Source organism: Homo sapiens, chromosome 11 (genome assembly GCF_000001405.40).
Source record: "Homo sapiens chromosome 11, GRCh38.p14 Primary Assembly".
In the NCBI taxonomy this organism is placed as follows: domain Eukaryota; kingdom Metazoa; phylum Chordata; class Mammalia; order Primates; family Hominidae; genus Homo; species Homo sapiens.
In genome coordinates this window covers 68,022,862-68,037,990 of record NC_000011.10, presented here as the reverse complement: position 1 = coordinate 68,037,990, position 15,129 = coordinate 68,022,862, and the positions used below count along the sequence as shown (strand labels likewise).

Below are 15,129 nucleotides of genomic sequence, written 5' to 3'. Positions count from 1 at the left end.
CGGTGAGCTGGAAAGACTGACCCGCTTGGAATAGAAGTATTCAGTGCACAGCTACAGGCTCCATGCCACGCTCTGACGGCGGTTACGTCTGGGAAAAGCTAAACCGGCGGTGCTTCAGGAGTCCTGCGCCTGCCTTGTTTTTGGAAAGAACACCTGTTTTCATCAGTGGCCAAGATGAGCTGCGGGCCAGACCTGTGGACACTTCCCGGGCTCCAGGCTTCCCCTCGCCTCCTGCAGTTACTTCTCACCCCAGTGCCACAGGCTGTGGGGCCCAAGCGGGAGCCTGGCCACTTTGGCATTAGATGGCAATGCCTGGTCTAGGAAGGAGGCCCAGGTGTTAGACCTGAGAAAAGCTCCCTGGGAATGGGCTGGGAGAGGCTGGTGTTTTTGCTGCAGGCCTTCTCAGAGCCTTGAATGTCTACCATGCAGTACCTGCCAGCAGGCACACAGCAGCTGGAGCATTTCCAACACTCACTGGGCCAGGAAACTTGTTCTTTCGAAGAAGTAGCTTTTTACAAAGTAGTGCTTTGTAAAAAGCACTTTTGGAAATGATGGTAGATGGGGGGGGTCAAGGTCTCTGAACTGAGTTTTATTATGGGATGTGCCCTGCATGGCCCTGAGCAAGCCCTTTCACCTCTCGGAGCTGGTTTCCTCACTGCAAATGAAGTGAAATCCTTCCACAGTACTTAGCACAAGTTCAGGGGGGCTGCTTTTGGCCATTATATGGGCAAGGGGCTTGTGTGTGGCCCTAGGGAAACCCCACCGTGTCGCTGGGCCAGCAAAGCAGGAAGTGGTGAGCAGTGGCCGGGCCAGCACCCTGGCGTAGGGAACACAGGAAAGAGGATGTGGCTGGACGCAGGCCAGCTCAGGGCCAGCAGGGCCTGTGTCACCCTCGTGTGACTGTCACCCCAAGCAGGCTTCCTCCTACCCCCAGCAAGGATGCCCCGGCCTGAGTTTCTGCCACTTGCTGTTCTTCAGCCTGAGGTCTTGGGAGGCTCCAAGTCCTAAGCGTCTTACAAGTGGATGGCTCTTGGGAGACAGGAGGCCCAGGCCCCAGCCAGGACACCCGGGAGAGTGGGAACGGCAGGTCTGTGGTGACCTCTGGCATCGCTGGGCCTTGGGGAAGACGCCCAGGAAGAGGCAGGGTGACAGGGATGCTGCGGCCTGTGGTCTAGCCATGAGAGCCTGGTGGGGCCCTGGAGTCTACAGGAAGGCAGGGCTGGGGCAGCAGGACTCCAGAGAGCATAAAGACTAGGTGGCGACCTAGTCCAGTTGGAGGCACCACAGGCCTCAGGCAGGCCGGGAACGGCCCCACCCTGGACCACCAGAGTCAAGACAAGAGGCCGTGGGGTCGGAGTGGTTTTATTGGGCAGCAGGGGCTGCGGGCCGGTGGGGCGTCACCGATACAAGTAGTCAGCCTGGATGTTGGCGGCGATCTCGGCCTCCCACTTGTCCCCGTTGTTGAGCAACTTCTCCTTGTTGTACAGCAGCTCCTCATGGGTCTCCGTGGAGAACTCAAAGTTGGGGCCCTGCAGGTTGAGGTGCAGGGACGGTGGTTAGGCCCTGCTGAGGAGCCTCAGGCCCCCTCCCACCCGGGGGCCTCACGTGCCTCGACGATGGCATCCACGGGACAGGCCTCCTGGCAGAAGCCGCAGTAGATGCACTTGGTCATGTCGATGTCATAGCGGGTGGTCCGGCGGCTGCCATCAGCTCTTGGCTCAGCCTCGATGGTGATGGCCTGCGGGAGGGGCCACCAGACACTGCCACGCTGCCCTGTCACATCCCAGCCCCCAGGGCCCCTGTCACTGCTCATCCCCACCCCTGGGGTCTGCCAGAAGCCCTCTCCCCTCAAAGGCCTCCTGGACTCCGGCTAAGAGGCCGCCCTGCACCTCTGGTGCTCGCGCCTGTCTCCTCAGCACGTGCCCTGCTGGCGTCCCTGCCTTGCTGGTTTTTTTTTTTTTTTTTTTTTTTTTGAGATAGAGTCTCGCTCTGTCGCCAGGCTGGAGTGCAGCAGCACAATCTCGGCTCACTGCAACCTCGGCCTTCCCGGTTCAAGTGATTCTCCTGCCTCAGCCCCCTGAGTAGCTGGGACTACAAGTGTGCATCACCACGCCCAGCTAATTTTTGTATTTTTTAGTAGAGATGGGGTTTCACCATGTAGACCAGGATGGTCTCGATCTCTTGACCTTGTGATCCGCTTACCTTGGACTCCCAAAGTGCTGGGATTACAAGCGTGAGCCACCGTGCCCGGCCTGCCTTGCCTGTTTGTCAGCTGCTGGCGTCATCTGCCAAGAACCCCCTCTCACGAGGGGGCTGTTCACCGCTTTGTTCAGTGTAGCACCCGCTGCCCTAAGGGTCTCACCCTGCGGTGAGTGCTGAGTTACAGTCCCGCCTCGCCTCACCAAGCTTTCCAGATATTTTGAGTTTTACAAATTGAAGGTTTGGGGCAACCCTGCATAAAGCAAGCTCACTGATGTCATTTTACCAACCATGTGCTTGCTTCTTATCTCTGGGTCAGCACTTTTTAGGAATAAAGTTTTTGTTGTTGTTTTTGTTTTTTGAGACAGAGTCTTGCCCTGTCACCCAGGCTGGAGTACAGTGGTGCAGCTCATAGCTCACTGCAGCCTCAACCTCCCAGGCTCAAGCGATCCTCCCACCTCAACCTCCCAAGTAACTGGGCCTACAGGGGCTAATTTTTTGTATTTTTTGTTGTTGTTGTAGAGTCGGGGTTTTGCCATGTTGCCCAGGCTGGTCTCAAACTCCTGGGCTCAAGTAATCCCCTCACCTTGACCTCCCAAAGCACTTGGACTACAGGTGTGAGCCACTGTGCCTGGCCCCTAAAGTATTTTTAATTAAGGTATATACATTGTGTTTTAGACACTTCGCAGCCTACAGTACAGTGTAAATCCTTTTTTTTTTTTTGAGACGAAGTCTTGCTCTGTGGCCCAGGATGGAGTATGGTGGTGCAATCATAGTTCACTGCAACCTCCGCCTCCCAGGTTCAAGCAATTCTCCTGCCTCAGCCTCTTGAGTAGCTGGGACTACAGGTGTGCAACCCCACACCCGGCTAATTTTTGTATTTTTACTAGAGACGGGGTTTCAACATGTTGGCCAGGCTGGTCTTGAATTCCTGACCTTGTGATCCGCCCACCTTGGCCTCCCAAAGTGCTGGGATTACAGGCGTGAGCCACCGCAACCGGCCCTAATTTTTTTTTTTTTTTTCAATTTTGGCTCACTGCAACCCCCACCTCCCGGTTCAAGTGATTATCGTGCCTCAGCCTAGCAAGTAGCTGAGATTACAGGGACCTGCCAACGTGCCCGGCTAAGTTTTGTTATTTTTAGTAGAGACGGGGTTTCACTATGTTGGCCAGGCTGGTCTCGAACTCTTGACCTCAAGTGATCCGCCCACCTCGGCTTCTCAAAGTGCTGGAATTACAGGCATGAGCCACTGTGCCCGGTCTAAATCTAACTTTTAAATGCACTGGAAAACCAAAACAGCTGTGTGACTCAGTTTACCCCGATGGTCTGGAGCCGAACCTGCAACATCGCCAAGAATGCCTACACTGTTGGGTGCAATCCTGTGCCTTAAATCTACTTCTCTCCATTTGATGGATGAGAAAAACAAGGTTCCGAGAGGTTGAGGGGCTCCCCAAAGCTACACAGCAAGTGGGGGCACAGCCCAAACTCAAGGGCACGTCCTAACTCTCAGTTCCTGGGTAGCCCGCTGGGGGAGGGGCTGGCTGGGAAAACCTTCAAATGTGCTTGGCAAGGACTCTCATATGCCCCCATCCCAGAAATGTAGTGTCCACAACTCACAGTGGGACCTGTGGCTGGCAGGCTCATCCTTTAGTGCTTATAAAGATGGAGACAATAACCTCGACCTCCTCGAGGGGTTGTGGAGATTACAGGAGAGGCTGTGAGTCACACACATGGCACAGCACCGGGTCTGTCTGTGGACAGCACTCACTGTCTGGAAGCCAAGGTTGTGACCATCGTGACTGCTGTTTGGGGACACTCCTATGCACTCTCAGTCCGTGGCTGGAGTAGAGACATCAGGGCCGCAGCTCATGGCCTGGAGGACCTGGGAGTGCTCCAGAGGACAAACTAGGATCTGGACAGGAGCCACCCGAGTCACAGAACACTGGGAGGGGTTGCTGTGCACACAGAAAGTAGCGGCGGCGGCTGCCGGGGCTCCTGCCAGGCACACACAGGGGTCTGACCAGAGCTCTGACCGAGTCATATTGTTCCCGTGCTGGCAGGCCTGGCCCCCACGGGTAAGCACGAGACCCACTAAGAGAACGGAAAGCCGGGCCTCAGGGGAGCAGCCACTGGGGAAGGGAAGCTGCAACAGGCACACAAGCAGGACTCCGGAAACGGTGGCTACATCCAGGGAGGCGTGGATGGCCTCAGGTGTCACCCCATGGCTCAGAGGCCCAGGGGTCACACCCTTGGCCAGACCCCAAGGGGGAACCTCTGTGTGTCAGGCGCCTGCCCAGGGCTGGAAGCTTCACTCTGCCAACTCACTGACTCTGTGCTCTGGTAACAAGCCCTCATCATTCCCATTCACGAGGGAAGTGGCTCAGAGGGGGAAAGGGACTTCCTGGGGACGCACATCAAGCAGGGGCTAGGGTTTGGGCCTAGGGCTGCCTGGCCTCCCTCTCCCAGTGGCAGGGGCTGGCGTGGTGGCCGGTTGGGGCAGGGGCTCACCTGGGCGGGGCAGATGGCCTCGCAGAGCTTGCAGGCAATGCAACGCTCCTCCCCGGATGGGTACCGGCGCAGCGCATGCTCCCCACGGAAGCGAGGGCTCAGCGGGCCCTTCTCGAACGGGTAGTTGATGGTGGCCGGTTCCCGGAACAGGTAGCTCAGGGTCATGCCCAGGCCTGTGGGCAGCACGGGTGTGGTGGGCAGGGGCACCCTCCTCCCCCATGCATCCGTGCCCACCCGGCACCTTCCCTGTCCCCTCATGCCCAGGACGCACCTCGGAAGAGCTCAGTCCACAGCAGGGTGCGGGCTGCCCGGTCAGTCACTGACTTCATGTCCATCTCGGGATCCTGCATGTTCACATACTCTGCAGAGAGGCGGGCAGGGAGGCCATGGCAAGAGGCCTCACACACTGTCTCCCTGGAGCCTCAGGGAGAGCAGCCTGGCCCTCACTTCCAGGTGCAACTGCTGGGCTACAAAGGGGCTGTACACTCACCACACCTCTCCCCAGCCTCAGCAAGGACCCTGGAGGCCGCCTCTGGCCTGAGCCCGTCCGTGCCTACCTCTCCCTGTGCTTGGGTGGCCATTGGAGCCCAGACGCACTTCCCTGCCCAACAGGGCTTGAAAGAGGAATCAAGGGGGGTAGGTGGGGGGCTTGAGCCTTTGCCTTCACCAGGGACTGGCAATAGGCACAGGTACCCATGGCTCACACCTGGCAACCCCCTCCCCATCACACCCAGGGAGCTCTGAGATCACACATGCTAACCTCGGCAATGATGGACCCTGCCCCTGTGAATCAGAGTCAGTCTCCATCACCATAATCATTTTAAAAGTGGAAACAGGCTCAGAGAAGAACGCCCCTGACAAAGCCAGGACTGGAACTCAGGTCTCTTCCCCTACTCCAGCAGGACCAGTCAGGAACACCTGAGGCTAGAGGCCACCCAGGTACTCACTGTAGGTGGCTGCCACTGCACTGCTGTGGAGGCTCCGGCCACCAGGAGGTCCTGCAAAAAGAAGGGCGTGACGTCATACCAGGAGACTGGACTCCCCTACCCCCAGCAAAGGCTTCTTTGGTCCTACCTGCACGTGCAGCCTGGGCCAGGGCCCGCAGCAGCATAGGCGTGGTCAGGCAGCGCATCTGGTGGCATAAAAAGGGATGGAGGGTGGGGTGTGCCCAAGAACCATCCTCTTCTGAGACTGGCACCGCAAGGATCCCAAGTCTCCACTGACATGTGTCACTTTGCCCTCTACTCGCACCCCATTGCTGTCAGAGGCACAGATGGCTTTCCTGTTCCCAGCGCCTCCCAGCTTTCCATCTGATTCAGCTTGGCTGAGCTACAATTCAGTTTCTGTGGACCCCAAGTTCTGCCTCACCTAAGAAACCTTTTAAATCCATCCTTCCTTTCTCCCTCCCAGAGATCCTGTTTCCCACCTTTCTGCTCCTCCCTTCATCCTCCCCAAATCTAACCAAAAACAACATTACCAGCCCCCGCCAGCATGCACTGAGAGCGAACTTTGTTAGCTCTCCTCCCCCAGGAACCGTGCCCAGGGGTGGAAAGCGCTGCCATCCTATCCTTACAAGGACTCCACGAGGGAGGCACAAATAAGGCGCTGGGACTCAGTTTGTTGAGTGACTCGCTAGGGCTGGGTGTGGTGGCTCACGCCTGTAATCCCAGCACTTTGGGAGGCTGAGGCAGGTGGATCACCTGAGGTCAGGAGTTTGAGACCAGCCTGGCTAACATGGTGGAACCCCGTCCCTACCAAAAAATACAGAAATTAGCCAGGTGTGGTGGTGGGCACTTATAATCCCAGCTACTCGGGAGGTTGAGGTAGGAGAATCGCTTGAACCCAGGAGGCAGAAGTTGCAGTGAGCCCAGACTGCACCACTGCCCTCCAACCTGGGCGACAGAGTGAGACCTTGTCTCAAAAAAAAGATAAAAAAGTGACTTGTCGGAAGTCACACGATAAGGAGGTGGGCCGAGGATCGGAACCCAGCCCTGCCCTGCTGGAAACTCTTCAAGGCCTGAACAGTCCTCGGTACCACATTCCTTTCCCCAGCTTCAAGGCCCTCCTGGAACTGTCCCCCAGCCTGCCGCGTGACCTTGGGCAGATGATGTGACCTGACCTCCGTCTTCTCACCTATGAAGTGGGTTGGGGGCGGTTGGTCTTGGGAATTAGGGGAGCCCGTACATGCCAAGGGCACCCCAGAGCCCGGCACTTAGCCGGCGCTCATAAGAGCTCATCCCACGACCTGTGAACCCCCTAACAGGCCCACTCCTTTGGATCACTGACTGCAGTTCCAGGGACCCAACCCAGCACCTTCCCCACCTTCCCAGTGATCTCCGACCCTAACTAGGCCGGTGGCGCAGAGCGGGCGGCGCATGCGCCCTGAGAGCCGGCTCCCCGCTGCACCTGAAGGACACGGAGGCCGCGGATCCTGAGTGAGCCGAGGGGAAGCCCAGGCGCAGAGCTGGCGGCGCCAACGGGGACACCACACTCGCCCCCGACGCCACGCTGCCCAAGCCCGACTTTCACGGCCAAAACGTGAACACCCACCTTGAAGCGCCGCCGCTACTTGCCTTGCCAAGCAGGCCAGTCAATCGGGAGGCGGAGGCTACACTGTAGGACGCTGCCATTGGGCCAGCGGGTTCCCCCTTTTCTGTATTGATGCTTCATGGTGTGGTCTGATTGGCCAGCAAGGCTGCTGAAAGAGGCGGGATTCAGAAATATCTTTCTTTTGATTGGCTAGGAGAGACCGGCGCTTGAAGTTTGTAGGGGGCCGCCATGTTGGTTTGGGGAGGCCAATAAGTGAAGACCTCCGAGCCGCTGGAGGCGGGACATCCGGGGCGTGGTTTAGAAAGAGTGCTTTCGCCGTGGGTGCAGAGGGTGGGCCCGCCGGGTTGGGTGGGGGGCGTGTGATGACGGTAATGGCGACGAGATGCTCAACTCACGCGGCCTCTTTTAATCCTCACAGCAGCTCTGCGTGGAGAAACTACAGTAACGTGTTACCACGTTAAGGCGGGAAGCTGAGGCATGGGAGTATTTAGTAACGTTCCCGGGCCGTAGAGCTGCGGTGTGCGGCCGCCTGATCCACCTGATCTGTATGACTCCCGTACTCAACCAGCCTATGTTTCCTACCAGCGAATTTTTTTTTTTTTTTTTTTTTTTTTCTTTTTTTGAGACAATCTGGCTCTGTGGCTCAGGCTGGAATGCAGTGGTGCGATCTCGGCTCACTGCAGCCTCGACCTCCCAGGCTCGGGTGATCCTCACTTCTCAGCCTCCCGAGCAGCTGGAACCACAGTCGCCTGCCACCACCAGGCTCGGCTAATTTTTGTATTTTTTGTAGAGACGGGGTCTCGCCATGTTGCCCAGGCTGGTCTGGAACTCCTGGACTCAGGCGATCCTCCTGCCTCGGCCTGCCAAAGTGCTGGGATTACAGGCGTGAGCCACCACGCCGGGCCTTTCCCCGGGAATGCTGTGGTAGAGGGACCCGCAGAGGCCCCGAGGCTGCCTGCATGTGTGTGTTGGGAGGATCTGCGCTGAGGGTAGGTAGGAGTTGGGCAGGCCAGGACAGGAAGGAGGCAGAGGGCATGTCCCATGCCCGTGCAGAGGGAGGACACGCATGGTAGACCAGGACGAGGACAAGGGCAGGCTCAGTGTGTGCAAAGGGGACAGTGGTTTGGGATTTGCATGCAGATGCCCGAGCCTCCAAAGGACCTGTGGGCCACAGGGAGACCCTGGGGGAGTTCAAGCTGAGGAGTGGAGAGGGCTTTGGGCTGGTCAGCAGGTGCTCAGAGGAGAGGGGCTGGCCCTAGAGAGAAGGGAGGTCTTGGGATGGTGGCCCACACCTGACCCTGGCCCTTCATCAGGTGATTCCTGCGTGGATGCCTGCGGGGATTCCTGCGTGGATTGGGGAAGTCCTGCAGCATTACAGAATTGTTACCCAACGCCAGGGCCTTGGTCCAGAGTCCTGTTGCTAGATGCACAGAAAGCAAATCACTGAGATGTAAGTATTGCCAGGGAAGAAGGCTTTATTCAGGTGACATCAGCCAGAGAGACAGGAGACGAAACTCAGGTCCACCCCTGTCCCTCTTCCCGACTAAAGTTGTAGGTTGATATAGTCTAAAAAGAAAGCAGGAGCCAAGGAAGAGGAGGTGGCCCGCAGGCCGCAGGAGCAGCCTCTCATTGTCCAAATGTAGGTTTCTCAAGCATCCGGCTTGTTAGGAAATTGGGCCAGTTTCAGAATCATCAGCTTGTTCAAAAGTGGGACTTGGGAGGTGAGAAGGGTTGTCAGGCAGGAAACCCTGCATTCTGCTTTGGCTGAGTGGATGGGGCCCAGGAGGATGAGCAGCATGGGGAAGAGTATGACTCGTAGTGGGCACCATGAGGATAAAGAGTTACAAGCTCCTCTGGCATGGGCTGGAGGGAAGGGAGACCCTATCGCATAACCACAGCCCCACCTGCCTGGAGAGAAGAGGGAGGCGGCCCCGCTCCGTGCCACCCCACTGAGAAAGATAGGACACCTGGAGCTCCAGCTCAGCAATCCCTCAATCCCTCAATCCTTCATTTCATCCTTGCAACAGTCCCAGGAGGTTTTTTTTTTTTTTTTTTTTAAGGCAGAGCCTCCTTCTGTCACCCAGGCCGGAGTTCAGTGACGCAATCTCAGCTCACGGCAACCTCCACCTCCCGGGTTCAAGCGATTCTCCTGCCTTAGCCTCCTGAGTAGCTGGGATTACAGGCATGCGCCACCACGCCAGGCTAATTTTTGTATTTTTAGTAGAGACGGGGTTTCGCCATGTTAGCCAGGCTGATCTTGAACTCCTGATTTCAGGTGATCCGCCTGCCTCGGCCTCCCAAAGTGCTGGGATTACAGGTGTGAGCCGCCTCACCCAGCCAGGAGGTATCAATGGTTAATTCTCTCCACTGAACAAATGGAAAAACTGAGACTCAGAGAGGGCAGGAATGGCCTTGGATGCAGTGATTCCATGGTGTGGCCTGAGTCAGATGCCAGGGCCCCTCGGACGCCCGCTCCACAGGAGAGGGGTGACTCAGAGGTGCCGTGTCTGTCCTCTTCTCCTGAATATGGGTGGTTGGTGCGGGGGCAGGGGGTGAGTCACTGCACTGTTTCCCATGCCTCCCACCTCGGCTCTCATGGTTGGGAGCGGCTGAGGGAGGAGGCTGAGGCAGGGAGAGGGAAGACCCAGGAGGGAGGAGGCAGGCGCTGCTTTGAGGGGTGCCCTGGAGCCTTGGCAATCCTTTTCCTCCTCGGGCCCGGGAGCCCAGGCCCCGTCTCCACCAGCCGCAGGCGACAGCTGTCATGGTGGTCTACAGCCTGGGCCTGGGGAAGGGCTCAGAGCAGTGTGCAGCTGCAGCCTTGGGCCTCCATGGCCACCAGCAGCATCCTCAGGCGGCGCGGCGATTGCGGCGGGTAGCGGAGGGCGTTGAGCTTCTCCATCCCCGGGCTGCGCAGGAGGCAGGCGCGATGGTGGGAGAAGGTGTCGAAGGAGAACTTGCCATGGTACCGGCCCATCCCACTGGCACCTGTACAGTGGCACAGAACACAGGTGGTCAGGCGCTGGGGGTCTCCTAGTCACAGACAGTGGGGCCTAGGCGGGCTACTTCTCCCCTCTGAGCCTCAGTTTCCCCATCTGTCCAGTGGGCTGATCATGAGGCACTGTGTGTAAAGGGCTTGGCCCCGAGCTTGGCACCAGCTCAGTAAGCCCTGGGGATGCCAGATGCCAGGGCAAGATAGGCGGGTGGTGGTCAAGGGCATGGATTCCAGAGTCAGACTGCCGGGGGTTAAACTCTGGCCCTGCTGCAAACAATCCATGTCACCTTGGACTGTGCCTCAGTCTCCTCTGTCGTGGGGTGACAAGGGTACCTCCCTCCTAAGGTTGTGGTGGGGATTGAGGGGATGTTGAGACCCCTGGACCCAGTAGGTGCTATGTGCAGTGAACTCTCCTCAGCGTCTAGGTTGGGAGGCAGACGAGGCCCCAGGCCAGGGCGTTCAGAGCACAGCCTGGGTGGAGTGGGGTTGGCTGGGGGGCTTCCTGCAGTGAGTGAGCTCCAAGGATATGCAGTTAATAAGACGAAGAGAGTGGGTGGGGGCAAGAGGGACCCAGGCTTGGGGAGCCTTAGAGGTGGGTGCCATGCGGTGTGTTAGGGACCTGGGCAGAGCTCAGGCTGTGGGAGCAGCAGGTGGGGAAGCCGGGGTGGGGCCACGGCCACCAAGAAGGGTCAGCTCGGGGGCCTGGGAGCTGGGGGAGGCTTTCTTGAGGGAGCAGCAGGGTCAGATGTGCCCACAGACAGCCCCGACTCTCCTCCAGGGCAGGGAGGCGGGTTGAGGAGGCTGGGGCTGGGGCTGGGGAGGCAGCTAGGTGGGGTCGGGGGCAGCCGCCCAAACTCGAGCCGAGCCAGGACAGCAGCACAGGCACTGTTGTGCCCCTGGCTGCCCTCCAGGAAGGGCATGGACCCACCTGAGGCAGCTTGCCTGGCCCTGCCATCGTTCACTGTGGTGCTGAGTGTGGACAGGTGGCGGGACTGCCTGTCACCTGCTCGGGGCCTACTGTTCTCTGAGGAGGAAGTGGGCTCAGAAAGGGGAGATGTCACCTGGGCCACAGGGCCTTCAGCGTGTTGCTAGGACCATCTCTGAGGCTTCCTGACTCAGAGGCCAGGACTCTGCAGTGGCATCGGGGCTGCTCTGGGGGGTGGAGGATTGGCACTCATCCGGGCCTCTCAGGGTGGGGAGGTGTTGTACTGAGAGCTGGAGGGGGGATGGGGTTAGAGGAGCAGCTGCCCTGGAGTAAAGGACACCGGCGGCATTGCTGCTGAGGGGCAGACACCAGGTCATGCTGTTGGGGAGAAGAGCAAATAGCATCGCAGTGGGCAGTGTGATCATAGTTGTGTGGTATTTTTAAAAATTCACTAAATTGTGTGTCTGTGCAGAGATGGTCTAGAAGGTTCCACCACAGACTTTTTTTTGAGATGGGGTCTTACTGTGTTGCCCAGATTGGACTCAGACCCTCTGGGGTGGGGAGCAGGATGCGGGTTCTGGGGTGAGGCCTCCTTGCCTGTCCCTCTACATTGAGGTGGGGCTGGGGTGCTTTGGCAGAAATGTATGCAGGTAACACTATTGCAATTTGACCAAATGGTAACAGAAGGGCAGGGTAGCAGGCACCTACCCACTCCTCCAAAAGGCAGGCTGGCCAGGGTCATGTGCATGAAGCCGTCGTTCCCACAGAAGCCCCCGCTGCTGGTCTGGGTCAGCACCCGCTTGACCACCTGGGAGAGAACAGGATGTGCGTGAGGCTGCCTTGAGCCCCATCAGGATCCTCAGGACCCAGAGCCTGTTCCATGCTGGACTCTGTGACACTGATCTTGCCTCAGAAAGGGTCTGAGGCCACCATGTCAGCTGAAGGGCCTGTGATGGTACAGGTGGGGCAGGGGGTTGTGTAGCAGCTCCTCATGAAGCTTCCAACTTGGGACATGTTTCCTGGACATCTGCTCATGTGTGGTCCATGCTGATGGCACAGACTCTTAGGGCTGGGGGTAGGGGCAGGAAACCTAGTGTTGCTTGGGGACATGGAGGGTGTAGTGGCAGCAGGGCAGTACTGGACAGTAGGGAGGCATCCCAGGAGAGGGGTGTCATGTGCCTGCTGAGTGGAGGGACTGGGAGGGACAGAAGTTGTTCAGGCAAAGAGGGCACTGCAGACAGAGTGGAGGCTGAAGAGCTGTGTGGTGTGAACACAGGGACATGAAAACATAATGATGTGGTCAGATTTGCACTTTAGAAACAGAAGCTTGGCCCTTGCTTGAAGGTCCTTGAGAAGGACCTTCTTCCTCAATCTGTAGACTTATTTGAAGACTGAAAGGAAAAAAAGATTGGTAGACACTAAATAGTTGCTGCACAAAAACTTCAGTATATTTAGTTGCAATCACCGTGAACCTCTGATCACAGCTGGGTCAGGGCTTGTCTGATGTGGGGAAAGCGGACTGCCCCCAGTGGATTCAGACGTCACTTCATGGCATGAGACCAGCATTACCCACAATGGCAGTGGCAGCAGATGGAGGAGATGGAGCAGAAGGCAGCAGAGGGCGTCCCAGGTAGTACGGGCAAGCCACCTTGTGCATGACTTGTGTCTTAGGTGTGACTGTGTGTCCTGGGATCAGTTCTGGGTGGTCAGAAAAGTTTGAAGCCAGATGACTCCACTGTCAAAAAACCTCTGTAGAGTTTTCTAAAGGTGAAAGTATCCAGATGAAGCAGGGCTCCTTGAAGGAATGGCTGCTTCTGGAGTTGGAGCAGGGGAGATACAAGATGAGCCTGGAGCTGCTTGTAGCACCAGAGGGGAAGGAGGTGGTCACAACCCAAGAGGCTGGGACATCTTACATGGGCTTCTGAGCCCGAGCCTCAGACAAACCACACGACCTTGGATTACAGCCCCTGGAGTCAAATAAATATACCTGAGTCCGTAGTGACCTAAATAAACAATTCAAGAGATGAATCTTTCTTACAGAATTCCAGGAAATAGATGTAGATACTGCTGTTAGCCAAGAATACGGTATCCAGCTAAGACTATGCTTCGTAGATGAAGAAATAAAGCCTTTCCCAGACAAGCAAAGGCTGGGGGAATTTATCACTACTAGATCAGTCCTGCAAGAAATGCTCAAAGGAGTCTTAACATAAAAACAAGTTGGTATTTGCCATAATACACACAAAAGTACAAAACTCACAGGCCCTATAAAACAATCATACAAAGGAGGAAGAGAAAGGTATCAAATGGCAATACAACAAAATTCCACCAAACCACAAATGGAATAAGAAAAGAATGTATAAAATAACTAGATAATAACTAACAATATGATAGAGCAGCATACAGCTTAATTACCTCCACCTGGTGAGGGTGGGGTAGGCTTAGAGACTTGCTTCCAAATAATAAAGAAACAAACAATAGTAGCTTCCCAGGGAAACCCTGGCAGATACCGTCCTGACCCGGTAGTGAAGGTTCCACTCACTAGCCACGTGTGCATCTCAGGTGCCCCAGATGTGGTGTGAGAGGCAGGCTCACCTCTGTGGGATTCTCTCCTAAAACCAGTAACCTTTCTTTAATCATGAGAAATACACCAGATGACCTGAGGCTGGGGATGTTCTACAGGAGACCTGTCCAGCACTCCTTAAGCTGAGAGGGTTATTAATGCAAGGTGGGACCCTGGCTTGGATCCTGGGGCCGAAAGAGGATGTCAGTGGAAAAACAGCAAAATCCAAATAAAGTCTAGAGTGTAGTTAATAGTAAAGCACTGCTGTCACTTTTTTTTTTTTTTTATGGGTCAGGAGATCCTTCCACCTCAGCCTCCCGAGCAGCTGGCATTACAGGTGTGCGCCACTATGCGCAACTAATCTTAAAAAAATGTTTCATAGAGACGGGGTTTTGCTATATTGCCAGCGCTGGTCTCAAACTCATGAGCTCAAGCAATCCTCCCACCTTGGCCTCCCAAAGTGCTGAGATTACAGGTGTGAGCCACCGCGCCCAGCCCTGCCATCACTTTTTTAGTTTTGACCCATCTAAGCACCATTAAATGGGGGAAATTAGGTGTGGGGTACATGGGAACTCTCTGTACCATTTTGGCAACTTTTCTGTAAATCTAAAAGTATTTCCCAATACAAAGTTTATTTAAAAAAAGTTCAAGTGGCCGGGCACGGTGGCTCATCCCTGTAATCCCAGCACTTTGGGAGGCCGAGGCAGGTGGATCACCTGAGGTCAGCAGTTCAAGACTAGCCTGACCAATGTGGCAAAACCCCATCTCTACTAAAAATACAAAGAATTAGCCGGGCATAGTGGCACACGCCTGTAATCCCAGCTACACAGGAGGTTGAGGCAGGAGAATCGCTTGAACCCGGGAGGCAGAGGTTGCAGTGAGCCAAGACTGTGCTACTGCACTCCAGCCTGGGTGACAGAGTGAGACTCTGTCTCAAAAAAAAAAAAAAAAAAGTTCAAGTGGAGGGAATCGAGGAACTGGCTGAGGGCCGGGGAAGGGGGCGGGGTGGGTAGGGACTGCTGGTACCTCTTGGTGTTTTTTAATCTGAGGACTCTGGCCTTGGGCCTCCCAGGCTGCCTCTGCAGCTTAAGCAGGGGTAGGGGATCAGGGCTCATTCTTGGACCTGCACCTTTGGGTCATCCCCGACACGTTGCCTGTGCCTTCAGAGCCAGGCTTGAGGGGTCATGTGGCCACCAGGCCCCGATGTGTAAGAAGGACAAAGGCAGGGGCTGACCTAGAGGAAACACTGGACCCTAGAGAAGGCCCATACCCCAGGAAGCTGCCCACTGAAGGCCTAGGAGAGTGGGGCCCAGACTGGGGACAGGGTTGGGGTGGGTGAGGCTCAGCTGCTTCCAGGAGAGTGGGCAGAGACAGAGCCAAGAGGTCCACCATCCC

The 15,129-nt window shown here is 56.4% G+C and overlaps 2 protein-coding genes, 1 long non-coding RNA gene and 2 other non-coding genes across 9 annotated transcripts in view, besides 4 other annotated features; 1 reads left to right on the top strand and 4 right to left on the bottom strand.

Annotated features, from left to right (window-relative positions):
- NDUFS8 (NADH:ubiquinone oxidoreductase core subunit S8) lies at positions 1,347-7,310 on the bottom strand. Its single transcript, NM_002496.4, has 7 exons — positions 7,258-7,310; positions 5,782-5,839; positions 5,655-5,705; positions 4,979-5,068; positions 4,708-4,880; positions 1,610-1,738; positions 1,347-1,529 (listed from the first exon to the last, which is right to left on the bottom strand). Exons 2-7 carry the CDS (start codon positions 5,837-5,839, stop codon positions 1,398-1,400), a joined length of 633 nt encoding a protein of 210 aa, NP_002487.1. The 5' UTR covers positions 7,258-7,310; the 3' UTR covers positions 1,347-1,397.
- MIR4691 (microRNA 4691) lies at positions 4,010-4,094 on the bottom strand. Its single transcript, NR_039840.1, has one exon. It is a non-coding gene; the product is annotated as a microRNA 4691 (primary transcript).
- Positions 5,069-5,127, bottom strand: MIR7113 (microRNA 7113). Its single transcript, NR_106963.1, has one exon. It is a non-coding gene; the product is annotated as a microRNA 7113 (primary transcript).
- Positions 7,104-7,283: an enhancer, noted in NCBI's record as "active region_5129". NCBI's record gives its function as "activates an Ori minimal core promoter by ATAC-STARR-seq in GM12878 lymphoblastoid cells {active_cell/tissue: GM12878}" and the evidence as "EXISTENCE:reporter gene assay evidence [ECO:0000049][PMID:35858748]".
- Positions 7,275-7,569: an enhancer, noted in NCBI's record as "tiled region #5992; HepG2 Activating DNase unmatched - State 1:Tss, and K562 Activating DNase unmatched - State 1:Tss". NCBI's record gives its function as "activates a minimal TATA promoter and a strong SV40 promoter by Sharpr-MPRA in HepG2 and K562 cells {active_cell/tissue: HepG2 | K562}" and the evidence as "EXISTENCE:reporter gene assay evidence [ECO:0000049][PMID:27701403]".
- On the top strand, positions 7,557-13,189 carry GLTC1 (glycolysis associated regulator of LDHA post-transcriptional modification 1). Its single transcript, NR_197583.1, has 4 exons — positions 7,557-7,698; positions 8,571-8,707; positions 12,659-12,804; positions 12,930-13,189. It is a non-coding gene; the product is annotated as a glycolysis associated regulator of LDHA post-transcriptional modification 1 (long non-coding RNA).
- The window catches only part of ALDH3B1 (aldehyde dehydrogenase 3 family member B1), a 20,730-nt gene continuing 14,315 nt past the window's right edge, over positions 8,715-15,129 (bottom strand). For all 5 annotated transcript variants that reach the window (NM_001161473.3, NM_000694.4, NM_001290059.2 and 2 more), the window contains 2 exons: positions 11,883-11,982; positions 8,715-10,242 (listed from right to left, as the gene is read on the bottom strand). In NM_001161473.3, the coding sequence (NP_001154945.1) occupies positions 10,052-10,242; positions 11,883-11,982 (291 nt within the window). In that variant the 3' untranslated portion in view covers positions 8,715-10,051. The remainder of the gene's footprint in view (positions 10,243-11,882; positions 11,983-15,129) is intronic.
- Positions 9,655-9,949: an enhancer, noted in NCBI's record as "tiled region #3798; K562 Activating DNase unmatched - State 8:EnhW". NCBI's record gives its function as "activates a minimal TATA promoter and a strong SV40 promoter by Sharpr-MPRA in K562 cells {active_cell/tissue: K562}" and the evidence as "EXISTENCE:reporter gene assay evidence [ECO:0000049][PMID:27701403]".
- Positions 10,380-11,245: an enhancer, noted in NCBI's record as "H3K27ac-H3K4me1 hESC enhancer chr11:67794214-67795079 (GRCh37/hg19 assembly coordinates)". NCBI's record gives its function as "activates a minimal SCP1, AML or CMV promoter by ChIP-STARR-seq in naive H9 embryonic stem cells {active_cell/tissue: H9 hESC(naive)}" and the evidence as "EXISTENCE:reporter gene assay evidence [ECO:0000049][PMID:30033119]".

Excerpts from the sequence above, each read along its gene's own strand:
- NDUFS8 (NM_002496.4), bottom strand. The coding sequence starts at position 5,839 with ATGCGCTGCCTGACCACGCCTATGCTGCTGCGGGCCCTGGCCCAGGCT. Across the intron at positions 5,706-5,781 it reads GGCCCAGGCTGCACGTGCAG|GACCTCCTGGTGGCCGGAGC; the intron begins GTAGGACCAAAG and ends TTCTTTTTGCAG. Across the intron at positions 4,881-4,978 it reads GTGGACTGAGCTCTTCCGAG|GCCTGGGCATGACCCTGAGC; the intron begins GTGCGTCCTGGG and ends TGCTGCCCACAG.